This window comes from Homo sapiens, chromosome 5, assembly GCF_000001405.40.
Source record: "Homo sapiens chromosome 5, GRCh38.p14 Primary Assembly".
NCBI lineage: Eukaryota > Metazoa > Chordata > Mammalia > Primates > Hominidae > Homo > Homo sapiens.
In genome coordinates this window covers 73,729,412-73,753,956 of record NC_000005.10, presented here as the reverse complement: position 1 = coordinate 73,753,956, position 24,545 = coordinate 73,729,412, and the positions used below count along the sequence as shown (strand labels likewise).

Below are 24,545 nucleotides of genomic sequence, written 5' to 3'. Positions count from 1 at the left end.
GGGCTCATGCCTGTAATCCCAGCACTTTGGGAGACTGAGGCAGAAGGATCACTGAAGTCAGAAGTTCAAGTTCAGCCTGAGCAACACAGTGAGACCCCATCTCTCAAAAAAAGATTTTATTTTTTCATTTTTAAAAAGCATCTATTGATCAGTTTAGCCTCATGTCTAGTAAGGGCCTATATATAACATCTATAGCCTTGTTCACACGCAGATTCCAAATACTTGGTATTCAGAGTCCATTTGGTCTTTAGAACTCCAAAAACTAGTACAAATGTAACACAAATGCTCTCAGTGACACTGACACTTTCAAAGATGTCAATTCATTGGTTATGTTTCCCATGTGGTCACATGTCTTCCAGGTGTTTCACAGAGTTGGTGACATGATCTTTCTTGTCCAGTGAGCCTACCTATTTGGAAATGGGGCAGCAATGTCCCCTTCCCACAGCAAGAAAACTTGCCAAGGGAAGTGGAGCCACAGCCCAGAGCAGCTGACTCAAGAGCATACCATAAAGAAACAGTCTTTCCCCACTTGAGACAAGGCTCTTCCATTTATCCCACACCTCCTGGCACGGAGTCACATAAACCAGCCCAGAGATGAGTGGCTCAGGACCTCAGGGAGCCCCTCCACATCAGAGCAAGGTTCAGGTAAAAAGTGGGCAGGAAAACCTGCCGAGGGGAACACACAGTATAGCATAAGGTACATTCTGAACTTGACACACAGAGGGGATATCTGAATTTTCTGGTGATGACCCACCTTCAAGTGAAGAACTTCCCAACACAGTCCACTCTAGAGGCAATTCCAGATGGGTCAGAGCCAGCACGAGCTCCTCATCCAAGGCAGGCAGTGCTCCTGCCGTCAAGGCAAATGGGGTCAGCAGGGTCTGGTGGCTGCAGGCTGTGAGGCGATTGGCCTGCGTCACCAGCAGACGAGCCAGCCTGCAAGCCATGTTGTCCACGTAGGTCACTGAGCCAGAGCCCATGGTCACCGGAGAGTAACCTTCCGAGCAGAGGCACACAGATACCGTCACCGTCTCCTGAAGCCCATGGCCTGGACAACAAGACAGTGAACAGTTCACCCCAAGTCTGTAGGAGATGCTCTCACAGGGGTCCAATGTGCTAGCCCCACCACATAGCTTAAGCAGACAACACGCTCCAGGAGAACAAAGCAGAAAGGAAAGCCAGCCCATTACCCTTACACACTGCCAAGCATGTGGGCCAAACTAATGCTGACTCCATCTTCTTTCAGTTACTCCTGATTTTAAAACTTACCTTTACGAGCTCTGAACACTTGAGCATCTGTTCTCCTATCGTTACCAAACACTGCTATTCAGCATTCCTTTAACCTTTTACTCCTACCCTGACCCCTGAATTTGTGTTTGTTGTCTTCAAGTCCTTTGCTCTTTTCCACTCTGCCATTTCCTCCTGAGTCACATATTTTTACATATTTAAGCAATAAGTTTATAAGATAGCACCATACAATTACACAAGTTTGCCCTAATTCCATAGAGCTCCTTTGAATGTGAGTTAAGGTGGGTGAAGACTACCCAAGAGAAAACAAAAGGGAAAATATATATATACATATCTATGTGTGTGTGTGTGTTGTTGCTCACTGCCCCCTCTTCTGACAATAGTGTCTCTGTCTTGTAGGTGTTCTCAATATTTCTCCTGAGAGTGTCACCAAATCCTGCTGTTTGTCCCTCCCTTCACTCTTCCTCTTCTTTGCCCCACTCTCTTATTTTGCCAGAGCTGGGAAGCTCTTACCCAGGTACATTTTTATGCTGCCCTTGGCAGATTTTTCAGGAATTGGTGGCAGCAAATCACTATGATCATGATAATCATGACTGGACAGAGAAGAGTTATTCAGCTACCACTGGTTCATAGCACCCTGTTGCCCCCAGTCAAATGGCTAACAGGTACAATCATTCCTCCTCTGCCTTATTCACCAAAGACTTTTCCCAGAGGCTTTGCAGCTAGGGCTCCAAGGAACAAGACTATCCCAAGTTTACTGAAAGAGAACTAGTGTCACTTTGTCATCGACTCTTAAAAGTGGTCTCATGGTACGGGCACAGAATGCACCCACCTCCCACCAGACTACACATACCCAGGAAATATTAAATAAATCTGTCTTACAGATTTTGAAAGGTTGTCCTGGTAAAAGCTGTCACCAGGGAAATTCAAGGTTCAGAAATAGAAACTGTCACCTGCCTCTAGATTCTGTTAAAATGAAGATAAGAAACCTCACTTTTAAGTAGACCACAATATAAACAAAAGATTATATTACCTTCCTCCTAAGGAAGGAGGAGGAGAGTCGCCACCACATGCAAGTAAAGAAAAAGATAAAAAGTTTTGAAAATAGGAGTGGCACTTTAGTTATTATTTTTTATCCTTTCTCTATAAGGGCTTGATAAAGGAGAAAACCAAGAAAAGGGAGCAAAACGAAAGGTAGGGAAAACATTAGCCAGAGCAAAAGGGCAGAGGGAAAGCAACCAACAGCTGAAGTAACTATGTGCCGTTAATTAGATTTGTTTTGGTTTTTGTTTTCGTTTTGAGACAGAGTCTCGCTCTGTCTCCCAGGCTGGAGTGCAGTGACATGATCTCAGCTCACTGCAACCTCTGTCTCCCAGGTTCAAGTGATTCTCCAGCCTCAGCTTCCCAAGTAGCTGGGACTAAAGGCACCGGCCACCATGCCCAGCTAATTTTTATATTTGTAATAGAGATGGGGTTTCCCCACGTTGGCCAGGCTGGTCTCAAACTCCCGACCTCAGGTGATCCTCCTACCTCGGCCTCCCGTAGTGCTGGGATTACAGGCATGAGCCACCATGACTGGCCCATTAATTCGGTTTGACTGTCTTTTCTTTCTTTTAACGATGCAGATTACTGGACTAAAGACAGAAGTGCTTAAAATTGCCGATGGTCTCAGAAATTGGACAACAGATTAATTCAGTGACCAAGACCAGGTAGAGCTAAGAGGTATCTGCACTTCTCTACAATTCTCACTGTGTCTGTGTTGTTTGCATGTTCACTGGCTACCTTCTTTCCACGTGTAGCAGATATGTTACAGAAGCAGGTAGGGACAAGCTCCTTTAAAAATGATCTCAATCTTAACTCTAATAAAAATTAAAGAGTCTCTTTATGATACAAATTAAAAGGGCCTGAAAGACCCACAGTTAAGAAAAACCAACCAATCAATAAAAAAGAATTCTAAAATGCCCTCCCTGTCCTGTAGGTAATGACATTTTAATTCCACCATTAGGTTAAAGCCTGATGACTCTTAAATGCACAACCCACATACCAATAAAAATATAAAACAACTATATTGAGAAGGGCTATTAGCTCGTCACAATATGTGAACAGGATATATTAATTTGTCATCTATCAAGAAGACAACAGGGGAAATTACAGGTTTCCAAATGTAAGCATTTTGATGATGGGGAGAGAAAGTTCTGGAGCTGGAGATCCCCCAAGGAAGATTCTGGATGGACAGGGCATCAAGGAAAGAACCCCAGTGACCAAACGGAGCAAGCAGAGGAGAGGCAGACCCATGGCTGCCAGGCTGCTTACAGAAGAATGAGGAAGAGAGAAGACAAACTTTGTCAATGTCAGTTCTGCCTGAGCCAACCCTGGCAATGAGTCTGAGGTTATAGGAGGTGATTAGGAGGTGATACTCAATAGACAGTGTTTCCTCCAGTTGACTGCATGCAAAGCACACCCAACCATAAAAGTTGGGTGCAGTCAATAGGATGGGTCTGCCTGGTCTAAGTTAAGACTCCTAATTAAGCAGCAGATACAACTGGAAGAATCTCAGATGTGAGTGTTCTTCCTAATATACACATACACACACAGGCACGCACACACTCCTGACCTTGCAGCACTGTTTTCTTTTTCTTCCTGGCTCTCTTCCTGGCCTACAGCCCTGGAGGGAAGTTATTTGCAGACTAATTTCCCAGCTGCACAACAAAGAGGACACCTCACCTGGGACGCTGGACTGGAGAACGTTATCCTCGATGCGCTCTGCAATCATGACATGTCGCTGATGAGATCCGTCATAAGTAAAGTAAAACTCAGCATCTTCAGGAAGATACACATTTTTGTCAAACTTCGCATAGATCATCATCTGCCCCTGAAAAAGGAATAAGTCGGGGCATTGTCAGACTTCCTTGTCCTGGCTCTAAGAAAGCACAATACAAAGGACCTGGGTCCATAACAGTGTCATTTGTTATGTTCACTTCATGTGGTTGAGTTCAAATAGCATGAGTGCTTCCTTCCAACAACAACACATTTGACATTAGGGAAGATGCTTCCTGATGTATTTAGGTATGGGTATCAGAGCTGGTTTGTTCTGTTTTTAAAGTTAAAGAACTTCAGGGCACAGGAAAGAATTTTTTCTTTCTTTAAAATGTACTAGATGTAGGAGTGTGGTACTTCGTTGCCGTTTGCTTTTCAAAAATTATTTTTAGAGACAGGGTCTCACTATGTTGCCCAGGCTGGTCTTAAACTCCTCTGCGCAAGCAATCCTCCCACTTCAGCCTCCCTGGTAGCTGGGGCTACAAGGATGTGCCACCACACCCAGCAGTCTTCTACTCTGAATTTCTACCAGCTGAACATCATGGCTTGAGTTAATTTTTATCCTGTATCCAAAATTCCATTATTAGTACAAAAGTTCATGATAATTATTCTTAGCTCTGGCCTCACCCTGTGCTAGACCATAGTCAGCTGTAAGAATCTTAAATATTTACAAACATTGCCAAATAAATAGGACTACTCCCTCCCCCTTGCTATGCTATTTCCATTTGCTATTTCTCTTCTCTGAGGGGTTTCCAAGTGCTCTTTCCTCACACTTTCTCTTAAGAGCTTCTGGTTGGCACAAAGCCCTGCAAAGTGCCTTGGTCCCAAGGAGAGGAGCTGCCACCTCAGGTCACCGAGGCATCCTCTGAGGACTAATGTCAAAGGAAGTGGGGCAGCAGGCTGGGGCTCTCGGGTATTTCATCATCCTGAGGCTTTGCGGAGGGGCTACAGCAGCCGTGTTGCACCCAGGGGAACAGCAGCTATGGTAGGGACTGCCAGGTCATCTCCAGACCCCAGAGGCTTTGAAGGATTTGTGCTACTCCCTACCGAAAACACAAAAAGCAATACAAAGTGGGGCCTCCAGAGAGAGAGCGCATTCTGCCCAGCCTGTGGGAGTGGCGGGGAAATGGAAACCTGGAGGTGGAAAGGGTCGCCCACTTTGGAGGGCTTCCAGAGCTCGGCCCTGCGTGGAGAAGCATCTGGGCTTTTGTGTGCTTGTCCAACAAAAACAAACCTGCTCGCCAAGATATCCTTACCCTATGATAGAGGAGAAAGTGAACAGATAAAAGCCTACACAGACTCCTTAACATCAATTTGCCTCTGACAAATATTAGCAAGATATTTCACAGGACACTAAGAGTTAAGCCAATCAGGATCAAAAACAAAATCGGTGTAGGGTTTTCTAGTAGTCACATGGTTATTTAATCTCAGTTTTTTACAATAAACAAACAACTATGCTTTTCTAGTGGTTTAAAATGTATCACACACACAGTTATCGGAAATTATGAAATGGTATAAATACAAAGTATAGAGTTCTGAAAAAAAATCACTGGTTGGCAGTTTTGAATTGCCCTTTTTCTGCATATGAGCATGCGTGTGTATGTGCACACATAAACGTAATCAATAGAAAAGCAACACGCCAAGAAAAATCTACCATACAATAGCTTCCAAAAAAGTTCAGGAAGGAGATCTGAAAAGCAAAAAACAACAAATGTCTAACATGACTGAGAGAGGAAACTTAGACAAAATTCCATTTCCTAAAAAAGGAAGAACAGCTTGCTTTAGTCATGTTCCTGGTTTCTAAAGAGACTGTTAACTATCCACAGGCAGAATCTGACCTGACCTGTTCGTGATTTTTTTTAAATAAAAAAACAAATTATATAAACAGATCAAAAATTTTCACAGATCACAAGGATATCTAATCTGCATCTATTCAAAACAACGATCATATTACTATTTTATTCGGTTGGGTGGACAAGGACTACAGCTTATGAGAGTTTAATTGCAACCCTTTCCAACACAATACAACCCTGAACATTACAGTCTTGTAATTCATCACGCCTGCCTTCCAAGAACCATGCCATGCTTTACACTAGTGAAAGGATAACCAACAGTCATGTGAGTAATAAGACATGCCCATTAAGGAGATTAAAGAGAGATGCCCAGAAGTCCTAACACTCAGAAGATATTCAGCAATAAAAAAAGTCTCTTATATGGTAACCAGAAAAACATCAGAAAGACCCAGTTAAAGATGCTATGGAAGAAGAAGGGGGTGATACAGAAACCAACAGAGAGACCCACTTAGACAGAAATGGATGGGCAGGAGAGGAAGACAAGGAAAGAAAATATGAAGATGAAATAACACGGACATTTTCATTCAGAAAAGGCAGATAAAGCTCAAAGGAGACGGATTTAGATAAAGCTACTTAGGAGATCAGCAGGAAGAACGGCCTTCTGAAAGAATATGCAAGTACAGCTTAAATAGCCAACCACAGGTGGCAGTTTTTTGGGTAAGAGTGGGATCTTTCTAACCACTGAGTCCACTGAAAATCTGCTACTTTTCTAAAAAGGCCACCGATTTCATATATGGCAAAGACAAAATTCCAATGTACAGAATTCCAAAGTATCTCTTTCAGTTCCCCATCTGGATCCAATTACATTCTTTGTTTCAGGCAATTGAAAACTAGAAACTTTCCTAGATAAATTTGTTGGCATAAATATCAGAATCACTCTGCTTCTACATAGAAACAATAGAGATGTGTTCTCACCTTTCTATAAACTCACTATATCCAAAATAAAAAACACTCAAATATGCCACTGAAATTTCTGGAAAAAATAAGAAGCATGCTAGGCAAAATTATCTCCCCAAATTAATCAACAAGTTTAGTGTATTCCAGTCAAAACCCATTTTTCAAATGAAACTCAACAAGCTTATTCTAAAGTTCATCTGGAGGAGTAAATACACTAGAATCGAAATGATATTTTTGAGAGAGAATGTTTGGGCTGTCAAAGCTTGCTCTACCACAAAGCAAAACATACAATAAAACCAGGGTCATTTAAACAGAGTAATGGTAGCATAGAGACAGACAAGTTCAAAGTCCGAGGCAGACACATGGACCCATGGAAATTATGTTATAATAGGTGGCATTTCAAATCAGCAGGGAAAGAATGGACAATTCAATAAACAGTTTTAGAACAATAGCTATCCATTAGGAGCAAAAACATGCCTTCTACCAAATGATTAAATTTCTAATTAATTCAATATCTAACATAAAAATCCATAAAAGCATAAAATTAGAAGACTGTTTAAAAGTTTTCATTATTGAATAAATAATAGCAATTAAAGGTATTTAGATTTCATCTGCATTGACATGATCCTAAACTATCAACCTTTTTTCATTTTTCCTATTCTCTTCCAGTCTTTATTCATATGCACAGGTAATTATTACACAGCTATACTCATGGCATAATACATTAATACATACTGTGTGGTTTCTTCTCTTCTATCAAAAGTATTTTTCTACATTGTTACAATCTTTGGCACCCTTTTTAATTGCATTCCACCAAGTGTTTGATGTTCCACAATTGCATGATTACTTAAATATTCATCTACTGTTCGTTAAGTGTACTTCTGACTTTTTAACATTTTAAACAACTCTTTATAAACATTTTAAGTAATTTTTATCCTTTGAGATGTTATTTTAGAATAAAATTCTAGAAATGCTTCCAAAAATATGAACAAGTTGTCACAAATTGCCAAACTTCTTTCCAAAAATTTTGTATCAACTTTTATCACATGTGCTGGTTAAGAGTATCATTTTCACCCCAACCTTGCCAAAACTATCTTTGGAAGTATTTCCTGTGTTAACAGATCATAAACAGTTCCTCGCTGATTTAATTCACCTTTTTCCATTGCCACTGAAATTTATTGCTCACTTTCATAAAAGTCTATTGCAAAATAATGTAAACATTGCTGGTGGCCAAACCAAATCTCAATTTGAATAAATTTAGTCTTCCCTCTTCTGTTTCACATATGAATTCACCTACAAACTTTGCCTTTGGCAGGTCAAAATTTTTAGTTTCCCAAGTGAACCAGTTGGAATCAGTGTCAGAATCATTCCCTTTCCCTGTCAAATAGTGAAGGTATATCACCTCTTACCCAATCATGCCCAAATAAAAAATACTCATCAGTACTCCCATAAAATCTTGGAAGGCCAAGTCACATGGAAAACAGGAATCACAAATGTAGAGCAGAAAAGCTGAACTGACTAGAATCATACTAAACATAGTTCAATATAAATACACACAAAGAATCAGGTAAATTAAACTAACATTTTTTACCATCAAACATCCTCTAGAGAAATTCTACTCATAAAACTCAATAATTTTCAAAGACCAATCCTTCTGCTGAAATGCTGTGACATCTATGGATTTCTTCCCAGAGAACCAAAAAGGTAACAAATGTTTTTGCCACCTTAAACTATCTCATCCAACTTTCCTATTCCTTTCCAGATGGTATTTAAAGTGGAAATGGTTGTCAACACCAGTTTGCATGTTCTAAAGATTTTTTCATTAATCTATGTCTCTAATACCTTGAGTAATTGAGTGGCTGTATTAGCCTAATCACTGGGTATTCCTGTACTCATGTTTTCTCTCCCTTCCTCCCTTTCTTCCCTCCCATTATAAACAATGCATCTGTATATAATTACACTTCGTTAATAACAATGCTATTTGCTGAACAACACCTTAACTCTCTGGTTTCTTAAATATATGGCATGACTGGGCAATGAACAAATACTGTATTTTCAAATTATGACAATTAGAAAAAAGGATACATCTTTTTATAGTGGGGTTTCTTAACCAAGGGAAGAATCTGAATATGGATTTCAGACAGTTTGAGGACCTCTGAAAATTATTAGCAAAACATAATAATGTTTTTTGTGTGTATATATGTCCATTTTCTGAGGAAAGGTTTTTTATGGCTTTCATCATAGTCTCAAAGGCATCTAAAGATTCAAAAAAAGTTTATGAACTCTAGCTTTTATAGTAACAGGCAAAAATGGGAAGTTAATAAATACTTTTCAATGGTAATTGTCACCTTTTTATTTGACAGGAAGACATAAACTATCTTCCAATGGATTCTAGTATTATACACAGCCTTTATATGGGATGATTTAGGGAAAGAAGCATAATAAAGGTAAATATAAGTTGACTGTTAAATATTATAATCAATGTTTACTAATACATGCCATGAAAACTATTATGCTAAAATACAGTGCTAAGTGAACTATCAAATTTGATTTGTATTCAATATTTGAAACTTGTCTTCTTTACAATAAGAAAAAAAAATCTATACAGAGCCTTTCCTGTAGAACAAGTGTACTGAACTTTGTAAGATCCTTGAAAAGTTAAAAGAAAAAAAAAGCATGCATGGTTATTATCCCATTTTATAGGTAAGTAAATACAACTATAGGTACTACTGCTAACTAGCTCAGGATCCCAGAGCCAGATGTGTAATATTAGGTTTCTTGATTTCTGCCCCAACCCCCAAGTTAGGTTATCCTCTTCACAATTTCTCAAGTACAATAGCATATGTGGTACCAAAGGAAGCACCGTGGGCACAAAGTATTTTATTCAAATTACTGTGTTTAGCTGAAGTACTTCGTTAAAAGGAAGTGTGGAGATGCAAATATTATTTCTTATATGTGTGTGCACATGTATACAAATACAGATATTGACATATCTAACTACTTATACATATTATCTATGTGTACAGCACACCACAATTTATACAGTGCTTTCTTGTGTGTTTTCTTGTCTTATTCCCACAATAATACCTGGGAGGTATTATTATGAACCTTGTTTATTAAAGAGAACACTGAAAATATTGGATCTAGTGAGGAGCAGAGCCAGAAATAAATCTACATCTTTCTGTGCCAGGCTCAGTACATTTTCTCCCCACCATGTTAGTGAACAAACAGCAAATGCACGAATATTTAGTGACTTATCTACAGCTTTTCATTTAACTCAATCTTTCCTTTATGTTCTTAATGTAGTTCCCATCCTGAAATCTACAGATAGATACGGTGAGGGGAAATGTACCCTAATCCTCCGGAAAATGTATGCAACAGTTTGGGGCATTTATTTGGGGAGTCTGTCTATCAGTTACAGATTCTGAGAAGAGTACACAAAGAACATGTGAATCAAAAAACTGAAGAACCCCTGATCTGATTTGAAGCATGTTTAAAAGCGTCTGACTTTTATATAATTTGAAATATCAAGATTATTCAAATGTATTGTCCCATTCACGTAAATACAAATTGGTTAAATCCAGGGGGAAATATCAGAATGCCAATTTTTTAAAAGAAGGTTAACTAAAATAACTTAAAAGACTTATAACACATTTTTTGAGAAACAGCCTTTATAGTAGGTGTCCATCTCCAGATAGGATAAAATAGACCACAGCAGGCCAACAGTCCGGCTGAAAACAACCAGGAATAACAAGGGCTGGCAAATAAAAAGTCATGGAAACAATGAGGACATAAATGTAACAAAATACCAGAGAGGAGAACCACTCAGAGAAGTAATGGAAGCCAAAAGACAATTGGGTAATATCTGTAAAGGGATGAAAGAAAATTCCATATCTAACAAAAATATCTTTTAAAATGAAACTGAAATTAAAATGTTTAAGACTAATACTGAGAGAATTCAGTGCCAACAGACCAGCACCGAAAGAAATACTGAAGGAAGTTACTCAAGAAGAAATAAAATAATCTCAAACAGAAACATGGAAATGCAGGAAAGAATGAGGAATAGCGAGTAGGTAAATATGTGAATAAATATAATTAAATCAAATATACAAACAATTTTACAAAATTATAAAATTACATATTTTGTGTAATATATAAGAAAATGTTTTACAAAATATTATAATGTCACGGAGTTTAAAATATCTGTAGAACTACAATGTGTGACAACAATAATGTAAAAGGTAGATGAAATTAAAGTACCTAGCAATATTAGGAAATTGCTGAAAGTACTTTTTTTTTTTTTTTTTTTTTGAGACGGAGTCTCGCTCTGTCGCCCAGGCCGGACTGCGGACTGCAGTGGCGCAATCTCGGCTCACTGCAAGCTCTGCTTCCCGGGTTCACGCCATTCTCCTGCCTCAGCCTCCCGAGTAGCTGGGACTACAGGCGCCCGCCACCGCGCCCGGCTAAGTTTTTGTATTTTTAGTAGAGACGGGGTTTCACCTTGTTAGCCAGGATGGTCTCGATCTCCTGACCTCATGATCCACCCGCCTCGGCCTCCCAAAGTGCTGGGATTACAGGCGTGAGCCACTGCGCCCGGCCTGAAAGTACTTTTATCATATTTATAATATATTAAATATACATATTTTGACTTGAGAGTAGCCACCAAAAGAATGCATAACTAATAAGTTATAGAGAGGAAACTTAAATAATAAAAATAGTTGATTCATCAAAAAGAAAATAAGACAGGTGAAACAAAAAACATAAAAATAAAACATGCATGCCAAACAGAGAGCAAATAGCTATATGTAGATATACATCCAACTATATCAGCAATTATATTAAATGTAGATAGACTACTCCAAATAGTACACCAAGTCTGCCAGTATGGATTTTTTTTAATCTAAAAACAATAACGATACCTATACACTGCCAACAAGAGACATACTTTAAAAATAACACAGAAAGCTTAAAAGTAAAAAGACATCCATGCAAAACTAACCAAGAAAAAGCTAGCACAAACAAAATAATATCAGACAAAGCAGATTTTAAAGCAACACATATTACTAGGGAAAGAGAAATCTTTCATCATAAAAAGAGTCAGTTGAAGAAGATAATATCATAATATTACTTCTGTATGCCCCTAATAACACATCTTCAAAAGATATAAAGCAAAAGTTAACAAATCCAATAGAATAGACAAATCCACAATCACAGTGGGAAACTTTAACAGGCCTCTTTCAATAGCTAATAGAACAAGTAAGCAAAAAATTGACAAGGATATCAAAGATCTAAATTACACAATTAAAATAACTTACCCAAAGAAATAATTAACATAATTAAATGCATATATTAATATTTGTAAAAGATACCCATTATTCAAACCTCTGCATTAAACACAATAATTCAAAAAATATAAACACACAGGCCAGGTGCAGTGGCTCATGCCTGTAATCCCAGCATTTTGGAAGGTTGAGGCAGGTGGATCACGTGGTCGGGAGTTTGAGACTAGCCTGGCCAACATGGTGAAACCCCATCTCTACTAAAAATACAAAAAATTAGCTGGGCTTGGTGGCGCACACCTATAATCCCAGCTACTTGGGAGGCTGAGAAAAGAGAATCGCTTGAATCCAGGAGGCAGAGGTTGCAGTGAGCCAAGATCATGTCATTGCACTCCAGCCTGGGCAACAGAGTGAGTATACATATATATATATATATATATATATATATATATATATATATATATATATATATATATACACACACACACACACACACACACACACACACACACACACACACATATAAATTTAAAATCTAGACGACTTTCACCCTTGATGGAATGATTCACCAGTATCAAATTGAAATTGCCTTTGTTTCTATAACACAGCAGAACTAAGTAAAAGACAATTCATGACAGAGGTCAGCAAATGACTCCAGATTCCTCACAAGACCAGAAGCAGGCTTTATAAAGCCCCTTAGCTTGCTTCCTTTTCAAATCCCTAACTTACAAATTCCATGGAGACAGAGAACTCCTAGTAAGTGAAAACAAGTATCTGGCACTTTAAGCAGCAGATCATAGTGGGAAATGTACTGGCTTGGGTATAAGAAAAATTGTAATCACTCTTGCCTTATTCTGATAATCCTTTAGGAATAAAAGCCCTATACTGGCCCCCAAATCATCAACTACATAAACCAAGAAGGAAGCAAAATGCAGTTTAACAGTTAGACACAAGTTGGGATTTTAATCAATAATCCACTAGCATCACTGAGGGAGCAGCCTGCCCTACCCTATATTGATGAAAATTTAGTAACTCCATTAAGAGTGAGTATGGTCCAGCTCTGCTTTATACCTGTCAGACACACCTGGGCCATGGAATACTTTAATACAAATATAGACAAAGCTGACAACACGTTCAGAGGAAAAGGACAAGGATGCCAAAGGGATGCAAAAAGCATGCTGTCATATGAAGAACAATTGAAGGAACTGGGACTGTTTTGCTAAAGAAGAGACGACTCATGGGTAAATGGTCACCGCTGCAAATATCTGAGGGTCTATCATGCAGACATAGGATTAGACATGTTCTGCAGGCCCCAAGGGAAGAGCACAAAACAATACAGGGAAGGACAGGGGACAGAGTTCAGCTCCCCAGTGAGAGCCCTCTAAGCATCAGACATCCAAAGACGACAAGGATTGCTTCAGCTTAGGAGGAACAAGCACTACTAAGAGATGGTGTGTTTTGTTTGTTTTTCTGTTTTGCTTATTTGCTCTGAGAAAGAATGAGGCTAAAGAACTTAAAGAACTATCTAATATTCAGTGTCTAGAATCTATAATATCTGGTATATAATTCTAGATTGATTAATTGCTTCAATATTTTTTAAAATGGGGGACCTAACATAACTGGATTTGGATTTCGTGGGATTTCTGTTCATTTTTCGCTTCTCCTTCTTTTTTTTTTTTTTTTTTTGAGATAGGTTCTCACTATATCACCCAAGCTGGAGTACAGTGACATGATCATAGCTCACTGCAGCCTCAAATTCCTAGGCTCAAGGGATCCTCCCACCTCAGCCTCCTAAGTAGCTAGGACTGCAGGCACCACCACCACACCACACCTAGCTAAATTTTTTTTTTTTTTTTGGTAGAGACAAAGTCTCACTATGTTGCCCAGGCTGGTATTGTACTCCTGGGCCTCAAATGACCCCCCCACCTCAACCTCCCAAAGCGCTGGAATTACAGACATGAGCCATCACATCCAGCCCCAGGTTTATTTTTTATTTTTATTTATTTATTTATTTATTTATTTATTTATTTATTTTTATTATTATTATTATTAGAGACAGGACCTTGTTCAGTACCCCAGACTGGAGTGCAGTGGCATGATCTCAGCTCACCACAATCATGGCCTCCTGGGCACAAGTGATATTCCCACCTCAGTCTCCTGAGGAGCTGGAACTACAGGCACACACCACCATGCCCAGCTAATTTTTTGGTAGAGAGAAGGTTTCACCTGTTGCACAGGCTGGTCCTGAACTCCTGGGCTCAAGCGATCCGCCCGCCTCAGCTTCCTGAAGTGTTAGGATTATAGGTGTGAGCCACTGTGTCCAGCCCCAGGTTTGTTTTTTAATTTCTCTCTTATATTTTTGCTTTGGTTTATTTTTCTAACTCCTTGGATTTATGCTTAGTTTATTTTTATTCTCTGTATTAATGGTTTTCAAACTGAGATCAGGGGAACCCTAAGTTGTAATGGGAGGATGTTGGGAGTTCATAAACATTCCATTTAAATTTCATTTGGGAAATATGTTTCCAATTAGTATGAAATCTAAAAGGATTATCATCCACTTAAATTTATTATTTACCAAATTTTAAGACATTGGAGAGGACCTAAAGTGCCAGGTTGTCATTTTTCCATCGAATTGACAAATGCAATAAACTTAAAGAACACATTTATAATAATAAAGTTTTATCAAGATTACATATTAATGTTCCTCATAATACTTGTTTGGAAAAAAAAAAGGTTTCCTTTTATCCAATAAGAAAGAGTCTCTAAGGCCCCTCTAAGGACTATAGGATACCCTCTGCTGTCTTATGGGAAGACAACTAAGTTCTATTAGTGACCAAAGTCACTAATGGCCTAAGAAAATATTCCTCTAAGCCCTTTTTATGGTTCATGTCTCAAACAAGCTTTACATGTGCACCACTGTAAAGACTACAATTTGTCAACTTCAAATTCACCTTGAACCCACACAGACAGTAACCTCACATGGTTATTATTTAGCACTTGAGGTCTACAGATTTATGTCAAATCAACTGCCATCTGAAGGTTATTGTGGGCCAAGTAACAGCATTGAACATCTCAAACTAAAATGAAGACTATCAGGAATACAAACAACCCCAGGTCTCCATGGATTGATTATCTCTGGGCATAACCTGATCATAACTATCCATTCTTATTTCATGGTGGACCACCAAGTCCTTGTGTTCCACAGGCAGTCCCTCTCCTTTGTACAAAGGTATAAAAGCTGGAGACAGTTCCCCTTGTCCCTCTCATCTGGCCAGCATCCGTGCGAGAATATTCCTTCCACCTATCTATCCTCGGTGTACGTACACACACACATGCACATACATACACACACACACACACACACACACACACACACACACGAGGCCACTCTTAAATAAGAGTGCTAAAGACTCTGCCAAGCAATGCTCATTGTAAGATACTGGGAATCCTTAGTAAGAAAAGTAGAGATTCAGAAATGTACAATTTAGAGATCTGAAAGAAGCCTTAGAGCTCATCTGGATCAAACCCCTTACATTACAGCAAACTGAAGACCCATAACCTTGATCTAGGTTCCATCACACTGCTAACCTTGGACCAGAAATCCCTGGTGGTCACCTTCCATCGAATACCTTTCCCACTCCCCCAAGCTACTAGTGGGGAAGAGCAACAGTCTGACCCCCAGATGAATCCTATTCCTCCCCCAGGGACTGGGAAGAGCCTTTATGAAAAGAAGTCAGGATCAGAATCAATGAACTCCCCCTAAAGTTCCTCAGCACCCACCCCGACAGCATCCCCAGCCTCCATTGTCTTGTCTCTTCTCTTCTGGGCTCCCGTCACCTTTGTTAAACCATAGAGCGCTTTCAGGTCCTGTAGCTCTTCTCCTCAAATCGAAGCAAAAGCAGGAAAAAGGCCAGCCCAGTCATAGCATGGAAAACTTGAAGTCCTGATGGAAACTAGAGAAGCAGGGCACGTGGAAAGAGCAGGTAGCAGTCAGTCAGCCCCAGCTCCAAGAGCCTACAGAAGAGGGGAAAGAAAAGGACACAAGGGGCTGGGCATGGTGGCTCACGCCTGTAATCCCAACACTTTGAGAGTCCGAGGCAGGCGGATCACCTGAGGTCAGCAGTTCAAGACCAGCCTGGCCAATATGGTGAAACCCCTTCTCTACTAAAAAATACAAAAAATTAGCTGGACGTGGTGGCAGCGTGCACCTGTAATCCCTGCTACTTGGGAGGCTGAGGCAGAAGAATCGCGTGAACCCGGGAGGCAGAGGTTGCAGTGAGCTGAGATCACACCATTGCACTCCAGCCTGGGCAACAAGAGCAAAACTCCATCACAAAAAAGAAAAGAAAAGAAAAGAAAAGAAAAGAAAAGAAAAGAAAAGAAAAGAAAAGAAAAGAAAAGAAAAGAAAAGAAAAGAAAAGAAGGAAGAGGGCTCGGTGGGGAGAGAAACAAAAACAACGGCAGTGGGCTGGGGAGTGATGACGGGGGCAAGCAGAGAAAGAGCTGGAAAAACAAAGCAACATGGAGCTTAGTTGAAATAGGAAAAGCGTGAGAAAGATGGAAAATAAATAGATAAATAAAAATGAGCAGGAGAGAGAAAGATTCACCCCACCAGGAATGGCAATCTGGAAACACTTTTGTAAAAAGGAGGAGGGGAGAGGGAGGCAGAAAAGAATTTAAACTTTGGTGCTGACAAGGAACACTGCATCTAAATCAAGAGCTGAGGGCCAAAGAAGCACCTCGGATGTGTCTCATTGAAACACATCATAAAGTGGGGGTGGGGAGGTTTCACACTACTCACATCCTACTAATGGCACATCCCCATTCTGGGGAGCCCATCCTTCCATACAACCCTGCAGGGAGAAAGGAGAGCACACTTGGGGACTCCTTTCTCATTCCCAGCCACTTTAGGCAGAAGCAGCCATGGCTTTAAAACGAAGGAGCTCCTTTTTCTGACCTTGTCCTTTCTTGCCCCTCACTGTTTCTTTCTCCCTCTTCTACCTCCCTCCCTCCCTCCCCTCACCAACTTTCAATGGTCCCATAAAATTCGACGTTGTTTACAAACCTTACCATGGCAGGTACCTATTTGCAGATATTTTACTGTTATCAAACTCCTACCATATAGATGTTACTGAAGCAATCTCAGTTATAAAGGGACATCAGGCACTGTATTAACTCACATTAAATATGAAATTTCTCATTTCCTAACAGAAAGCCTTAATGCAAAAACAGTAGTATTTATCAGTTTATTAATTGTGGTTGCTTAGGAACACATAAGGATAAAAATGGCCATGATAGGACCCTTTGTGTTTTAATTAACAGTACTGTGCATTTGAATGTACCAAGTACCATTCTAAGTGAATTATCTCATTAATTCCTTACAATTGGCCTATAAGGTAGAAACCATCATCCTCATTTTATAGATGAGGAAAGAGAGACTTCGAGAGGTAAATGCCCTGATAATTATACAGTGATCTGGAGGGTCAGGAAGAAGCAGGAGTCAAACCCATGCTTCCTTCTTAACTCCCAGCAAGCCCTGCCACTGTGGTCAGTGCTGCGTCCCCCACAGCAAAGCCTCTGCCGAAAACAAGAGACAGCCCGGTGCATTGATTGGCTCCGTGACCATTTCCTCACACCTAACTCCACAGTGAAGTCTTAAGAAGTTACACATGAGTATCCATTGAGTACTTCGAAGAAATGACCATGTTCAAGGACTGTGAATATTATGACCTCTTTTAGATTATTTTCTCTTATTCCTTCATTCAATAAATACCTGATGTGTGTCAGGCACTGTGTTAGGCACAGATGGTATGAAGACGACAAGACCTATCCTTTCTTTCTTCACGGAGCTCACAGCCTAATAGGAAGAGAAGAGCTTAAACAAACACAAGTGAGCACAAGAGTCTCTGTATGGATGGGAGAGGGAGTAACAGGTCAGGAAAGGCCTCTCTGAAGATGGAAAGGATGCTGTGAATGGAAGGGAATTCCAAATAAAGGCGTGAAAACCAGTGAGAGAATGGCTCATTTGGAGAATGACAGTTTATTATCGCCAGGCTGTGATTCCTGAAGTAGAAAGTAGGATAGGAGGAGAAGCTGGACATGAAGGCAGAGGCCATCGCATGGAGGGCTTGGAAGACAAAGAGTTCCTGGAAGAGTTTTGAGCAGGGGAGTAACACAATCAGATTTGCATTTTACAAAGACCAGTCTAGGAGACACAGGCAGTTATGCCAGGAAGGCTGCTATCGAGATTGGCTTTCCTTGAGCTACAGTCTCTTTCTCAGTACCCTGCTGCTCTGGAATTTTTAAGAGTACCAAAAATAACCTAGAGATTAGAAAAACATGGGTCTGGCTCAATGACTGTACATGCAGACCAGAGATACTGGTCTGGATCTCTAGCCACCTCCTGAAGCTCTAGTGAAAAGTGTAAGGCCTCAAAGATTCAAGCAGACCTGGACTCCAATCCTGGCTGCCTCTGCTACTAAATTGTAAAACAGGAATAAAAACAGTGCCTGCCTATCTTAGGAAATTCTTAACATTGCTAAATGAAATAAAATATATCGGCACTTGCATAGCACTTCTGACACTTAATAAATAAATAAATTTTAATTTAATTTAATTAATTTTAATTTAATTAATAAAAATTAATAAATGTATTAATTTATTAATTACTTAATAAATTAATAAATTAGCCAGCTACTCAGAGATTACTAAAATCAATATCACTCTTGTTATTCAGTATTGTTCATTGAAGAAACATTTATTGAATATCTAATGAGTGCCAGGCAGTTTCCTCAACTTTCTCAAAACAGCACAGTGAGGTCGGCAGCGCAGCATCAGTACCCTCATTTTACAGAAGAGGATATTTTGTTTAGAAGGCTACATTATTTGACCAAAGTTACAATGACCCTCCTCAAGTTCTCCAAGCTGGAAACAGGATTCAGAGAAATAAAATAGAAGGTGTAGTAAGCACTCATTTGAAAGACTCCATTTTATAAATGAAAGTCCTCTCTACTTCAAAATAGTCTTCCCTCTCCACTGCAAAAACACAACTTAAAAAAAAGAAAAAGAAAAAACAGAAGTATTTTTATCCTGAAGACAGTTCACTCTAATTTGGCAAAGTGGTATCAGTTCTTGCATTCTTCTGGAACTGGATGCTACTTACCATCTGTTTAGAAGATCAACAGAGCACTCATTTTCCAGGATCTTAATCTACCTCAGTTGTGTATCTGATTTTTTTCTGGGATATAAAGTGGTACAAGCACTAGCTTATGAGGGCACAGAGAAATGTTACCTGTGCTATATGCTAACTCCTCACTTTGTCTATCCTTTATGTGGCCTTCCAAGGACACAGGATCATCTTCCTTCCTCTTTAATGCACAAATTCTATCAGCACATTTGCCTAGAAGTGTGTCCTGCTCCTCTGTCTCCCCAAAGACCCTGAAGTGAAATCCTCAGGATTTCATACCTTTCATTACCAGTGAGCATGCTGCCCTGGCCCTTCTGCTCATCCCAACCCCAGCTATCCTGGAAGGCCCCACTCTTCTGGGCATGCCCATGATGTCCCTCTGAATTTCAGGCCATCTCATCCCAACCTGTCTCGTAGTATTTAACTGTCCCTCCCTATTCTTCTCTTTTCTCTCTGCCAACACTACAGGCCTTCATTTTACCAATTTATGCCCCTTCCATCCTTTTTTTTACCCTCTTATATAGTTTAGATCCATGTCCCTACCCAAATCCCATGTTCAATTATAATCCCCAGTGTTGGGGGTGGGGCCTGGTGGGAGGTGATTGGATCATGGGGGTAGCTCCTTCATGAATGGTTTAGCACCATCCTTTTGGTGCTGTTCTTGTGATAGCGAGTTCTTGCAAAATCTTATTTAAAAGTGTATAACGTGTCCCCCTTTGCTCTCTTGTTCCTGCTCTGGCCATGTGACTGTGTGCTCCCCCTTCACCTTCTGCCATGACTGTAAGTTTTCTGAGGCCTCCCCAGAAACCAAGCAAATGCCAGCACCATGCTTCCTGTACAGCTTACAGAACTGTGAGCCAGTTACACATCTTTTCTTTATATATTACCCACTCTGAGATATTTCTTCTTTTTCACGCCTCATCTCATTTCTTAATTTCAAGAAAAATCTGATTTTTCTTGCCTTAATGAATTATTGCTGTAATAGTTGTCAAATGATGATTTTCTAATTCCATCATTCCTTTTAAATTATTTTTTCTTTCAATAGTTTTCGGGGTACAGGTGGGTTTTAGTTACATGGATAAGTTCTTTAGTGGTGATTTCTGAGATTTTAGTGTAATCGGTCTTAGATATTTCTTGATAGCAATGCAAGAATGTACTAACAGACCCTCCCACATAATGAAGGCCAGAGAGCATCATGGTTAAGTCAGCCAGCCCTGGATCTGGAGTCAGTTGGCCTGGATCCCAAGCCTGACTCTATCACTTATCACTGTTTAGCTTTAAACAACTGGCTTAATTTCTGTAACTTAATTTCCTTTCCTCATCTGAAAATGGAATTAAATATAGTCCTTTAGATTTTAGTGACAGTCAAATGTAATAATGAATGCCTCTGCCTGGCATGGAGTAAGACCCTATTATGTGTTTAGTCTTTTTATTTTTCATTGTTAAACTACTCCAATTTATTTTAGGAATAACACAGGATATACAAAAGCATAAAAATGATACAATGGACTTTGGGGACTTGGGAAAGGGTGAGAGGCAGGTGAGAGATAAAAGACTACACATTGGGTAAAGTGTACACTGCTTGGGTGATGGGTGCACCAAAACCTCAGAAATCACCACTAAAGAACTTATTCATGTAACTAAACACCACCTGTTCCCCAAAACCTATTGAAATAAAAAATTTTTAAAAAGCTAAAAATGAATAAAGCAGGATATAAAGTAATTATTTCCTCTCAAATTTCCCTCAAATATTCTTATGCACAAAAAGGACTCAAAGTTAATTAACTAGAATGGGAGAACATTTTTGTAAACCAAAAGAATCATTTCCTACTGTTTGTGTGTTTCCGCTATGCTTTCATATACCACTTTTTTCTTAGTAAAATGTAGCTTTATACATTAATTCATCAAACATATATTAAGCCCTTATTAAAATATATTCAAAACACTGTTCTAGGAACAAGGGATGCAGCAATAAACCGAGCAAATCCCTGTTCTCATGGTCTAGAGCCTTCTGTTGGAAAGATAAAGTAAGAAAATATCAGATAAGTGCTATACAGAGAATTAAAAATAGTAGAATAACCCTCAATATTTACCAAAAGGAACTAAAAACTTACATCATACAAAAACCTGCACATGGATGTTTACAGCAGCTCTATTCAGAATTGCCAAAACTTGGAAACAACCAAGATGTCTTTCAGTAGGCAAATGATAAATAAATTGTGGTACATCCAGTTGATGGTATTAGCGTTAGCATTCAGCATTAAAAAGAAATGAGCTATCAAGTCATGAAAAGACATGAAGGAACCTTAAATGCATGTCACTGAGTGAAAAAAAAAAAGCTGATCTGAACAAGTTACATACTACATGATGCCAACTCTATGACATTCTGGAAAGGGCAAAACAATGGAGATGGTTAAAAACCCAGTGGTTGCCAAGGGTTGGTAGGTGGGGGAGGGATGAATAGGCAGAGCACAGAGGATTCTCAGGGCAGTGAAAACACTCTATGTAATACCATAAAGGTGGATACTTTATCATTATACATTTGTGCAAACCTATAGAATATACAACATCAGGAGTGAACCCTAATGTAAACTACAGATTTTCGATGATGATGATGTGTCAATGTTAGTTCATCAATTGTTAAAAAAAAAAAAAAAAAAAGTTCACTAAATTGTGATATTCCTGGTGGGGGATGTGGATACTGGGGGAGGCTATGCTGACCACACACACACTACCCTCTCCCTCTCAATCTCAACAATTTTACCCCAAATGTAGTGCTAGATGTACTTCTACAAGTGTCCCTTAATTCAGAAATGAGAAGAGCTAGGAGAAAACAGCTTCATTGATAAATAACTGTTTACATAATAAAGAAAAACTGTATCATTTTAAATGCCATTTCTAACAATTTACCATACTTCTGACACTGTAGATTATATTAATATTATGCTGTCTACTCTGGGCCTCTTGAAATCACCCAAAACCCCAGCACATGTAATGAATACAAAAAGCTTTCCAGAGACACATGACTTTAAAATTTACCTAGCAGAAAGGAAAGCAATTCTCATTCCATGACCACCCTATCCCTTCAAAAACAACTAAAAGAGAAGTTTGCTGGCCACACAGTAATTATGGGTCTTCCCTGGAAGTACATTATGACACAGTAACTTGTCAAATATCCTGATGACTGTGCCACAGTATCCCAATTCTTTCCTTAAAACCAAATGGCCACTATGTATTACATAAGACCCCTTCTCTTTGAACAAATTTTTTAATAGCCAAGCAAAGGCATGCTTCCAAAACTTATGATGATTTGAGTTTTTCAAGGTATATGTCTAACTGAAGAAATCCTTAAGTTACAGCAACCCCTTAAGTTATCTCATTCCTGACAAGATAGACACAGATCCGCATTTTGTTTTTTTAACTGGTTATACCCTCCTTCCAAACTATACAACTCCAAACCTTTTGACCACATAATGAAAGCACACATAACTACCAAGTCAATAAAAACATCTTCCCAACAATCACAGAAACTAACGCATTCCCATTGAAGTCCCACATGCTAAATTAGGTTGAGCACAGTTACTAAAAATGGATTATTCTTGTCACAGAGAACATCAAGAATTTTCTACTTTTCTGCATAAGAGATTAGAGGGTTTTTTTTTTTTAGCTTAAAGGCAGAGAAGAAGAAAAAATTAAAGAATTTCATCTGATCATTGCAAAAAAAAAATCTAGCTCAGTACATACTGTCCCAAAGACATCTAAGATGTTAGTTTTCAACTGTTTAATTAAAGACTCAACACAGAGCAAGTAAAAAACCAAAAGATTCTAAACAGCTACTTAATTTTTAGGATAAACTAGAGAATAAATTTTTCATTTTCAAATCTAAAATTTTAAACCATTAAAAATATCAACCTTCAAAACAGTTCCAACCTGTGCAACATGGCAAAACCTTGTCTCTACAAAAATATACAAAAATTAGCCAGGCATGGTGGCACACACCTGTAGTCCCAACTACTCGGGGGCCTGAGGTAGGAGGATCACCTGAGCCCAGGAAGGCTGAGGCTGCAGCGAGCTGTGATCGTGCTACTGCACTCAAGCCTGGGCAACAGATGAAACCCTGACAAAAAAAAAAAAAAAAAAAATCCTCCTTATGGTGGACAGTTTGAACCTATATTGATTATAGGTTGCATACATGATCAAGTCAGCAGTCTACTGAAATATATTTTCCTTTATTTTGCCTTAAAGGTGCCTACCGATGCAAGGCAACACTGGAATCCAACAAGATAAGTAGGACATCCCTACCTATCTAACCACCTACATGGCCATCACCAGTCATTCTCCTAGCCTTGCGAGCACCTCTTAACAGGGGAAGAAGCATTTTTACCCCCAACTACTTCTCTGCGGGTCACAGATATATACAACATATCTGACTGGGACAGTTTACTATTTAAAAAACTCTACATTTGAGGATAAGTTGAGTAGATTTCATTAAATTCATTTTATAAATTTATAAACAGAACTATAAGCTATAAACTTAACCACAAACTATAAGTAATATGCATGTTAATGCTTTACATTTAAACTTGAACCTTAGAAAAACTGTTTTTAGATCAGAATTAGATGGCGATATATTCACTGAATAACTCTGGAAACCACTATTTGGCAATACGTTTAAATCTCACAACACTGCAAGCTAGGTTTTGTTATTCCCACCTTATAAATGGGAAAGTGAGATAGTACAAATTGGAAGGTCACAGCTGGGACTCGAATTCAGGCCTATCTACTATCTACTCCTTGCTCTTATTTCAAGATTAAAACAATAGTTAGTGTGTAACTGGTTCATAGGTATTTAAAGGCGCCAAAAAGACAAACTCCCAACTTGTGAAGTTCTACTCTCTAACACTAACAAAAATAGTCTATACAATTTGAGTAAAATTAGCTACTTACTACCCACCTTATCGAGGAAAGATATGTATCTGCCTCCATAATATCAAAAGAAGCTGCCCGCCTGAAATGTGATCGGTGACTAAATAAACTTGAGAAATCTAACACATTCTGTGTATTTAAATAAAGGGTGATGTTGTGATGAAGAATACAAACAAAAGTATGGCCATCTAAATGACTTTTAGAAACAGAAAATCTAAAGAATGAGAATTGTTCAATATTTATTTAGCATTGTCCTTGGGGCAAGATCCAGCCAGCAAACATGAATGTTTCACTCTGTTTCACAGGAGATAGAGTAAATACTGCAGCTCCCCCTAAGGC

The 24,545-nt window shown here is 39.1% G+C and overlaps 1 protein-coding gene across 4 annotated transcripts in view, besides 3 other annotated features; it reads right to left on the bottom strand.

The window, feature by feature from the left end:
- Positions 1-24,545, bottom strand: part of ARHGEF28 (Rho guanine nucleotide exchange factor 28) — a 315,795-nt gene that overhangs the window by 188,034 nt on the left and 103,216 nt on the right. For 3 of the 4 annotated variants that reach the window (NM_001080479.3, NM_001177693.2, NM_001388078.1), the window contains exons 3-4: positions 3,973-4,120; positions 755-1,048 (exon numbers count right to left, since the gene is read on the bottom strand). In NM_001080479.3, coding sequence (NP_001073948.2) covers positions 755-1,048; positions 3,973-4,120 — 442 coding nt within the window. The remainder of the gene's footprint in view (positions 1-754; positions 1,049-3,972; positions 4,121-24,545) is intronic. The other variant, NM_001388076.1, reaches the window with a different exon arrangement.
- Positions 3,739-4,033: a silencer, noted in NCBI's record as "tiled region #14554; K562 Repressive non-DNase unmatched - State 21:Repr". NCBI's record gives its function as "represses a minimal TATA promoter and a strong SV40 promoter by Sharpr-MPRA in K562 cells {active_cell/tissue: K562}" and the evidence as "EXISTENCE:reporter gene assay evidence [ECO:0000049][PMID:27701403]".
- Positions 5,139-5,433: a silencer, noted in NCBI's record as "tiled region #14272; HepG2 Repressive non-DNase unmatched - State 15:Elon, and K562 Repressive non-DNase unmatched - State 22:ReprW". NCBI's record gives its function as "represses a minimal TATA promoter and a strong SV40 promoter by Sharpr-MPRA in HepG2 and K562 cells {active_cell/tissue: HepG2 | K562}" and the evidence as "EXISTENCE:reporter gene assay evidence [ECO:0000049][PMID:27701403]".
- Positions 6,207-6,788: an enhancer, noted in NCBI's record as "NANOG hESC enhancer chr5:73042994-73043575 (GRCh37/hg19 assembly coordinates)". NCBI's record gives its function as "activates a minimal SCP1, AML or CMV promoter by ChIP-STARR-seq in naive H9 embryonic stem cells {active_cell/tissue: H9 hESC(naive)}" and the evidence as "EXISTENCE:reporter gene assay evidence [ECO:0000049][PMID:30033119]".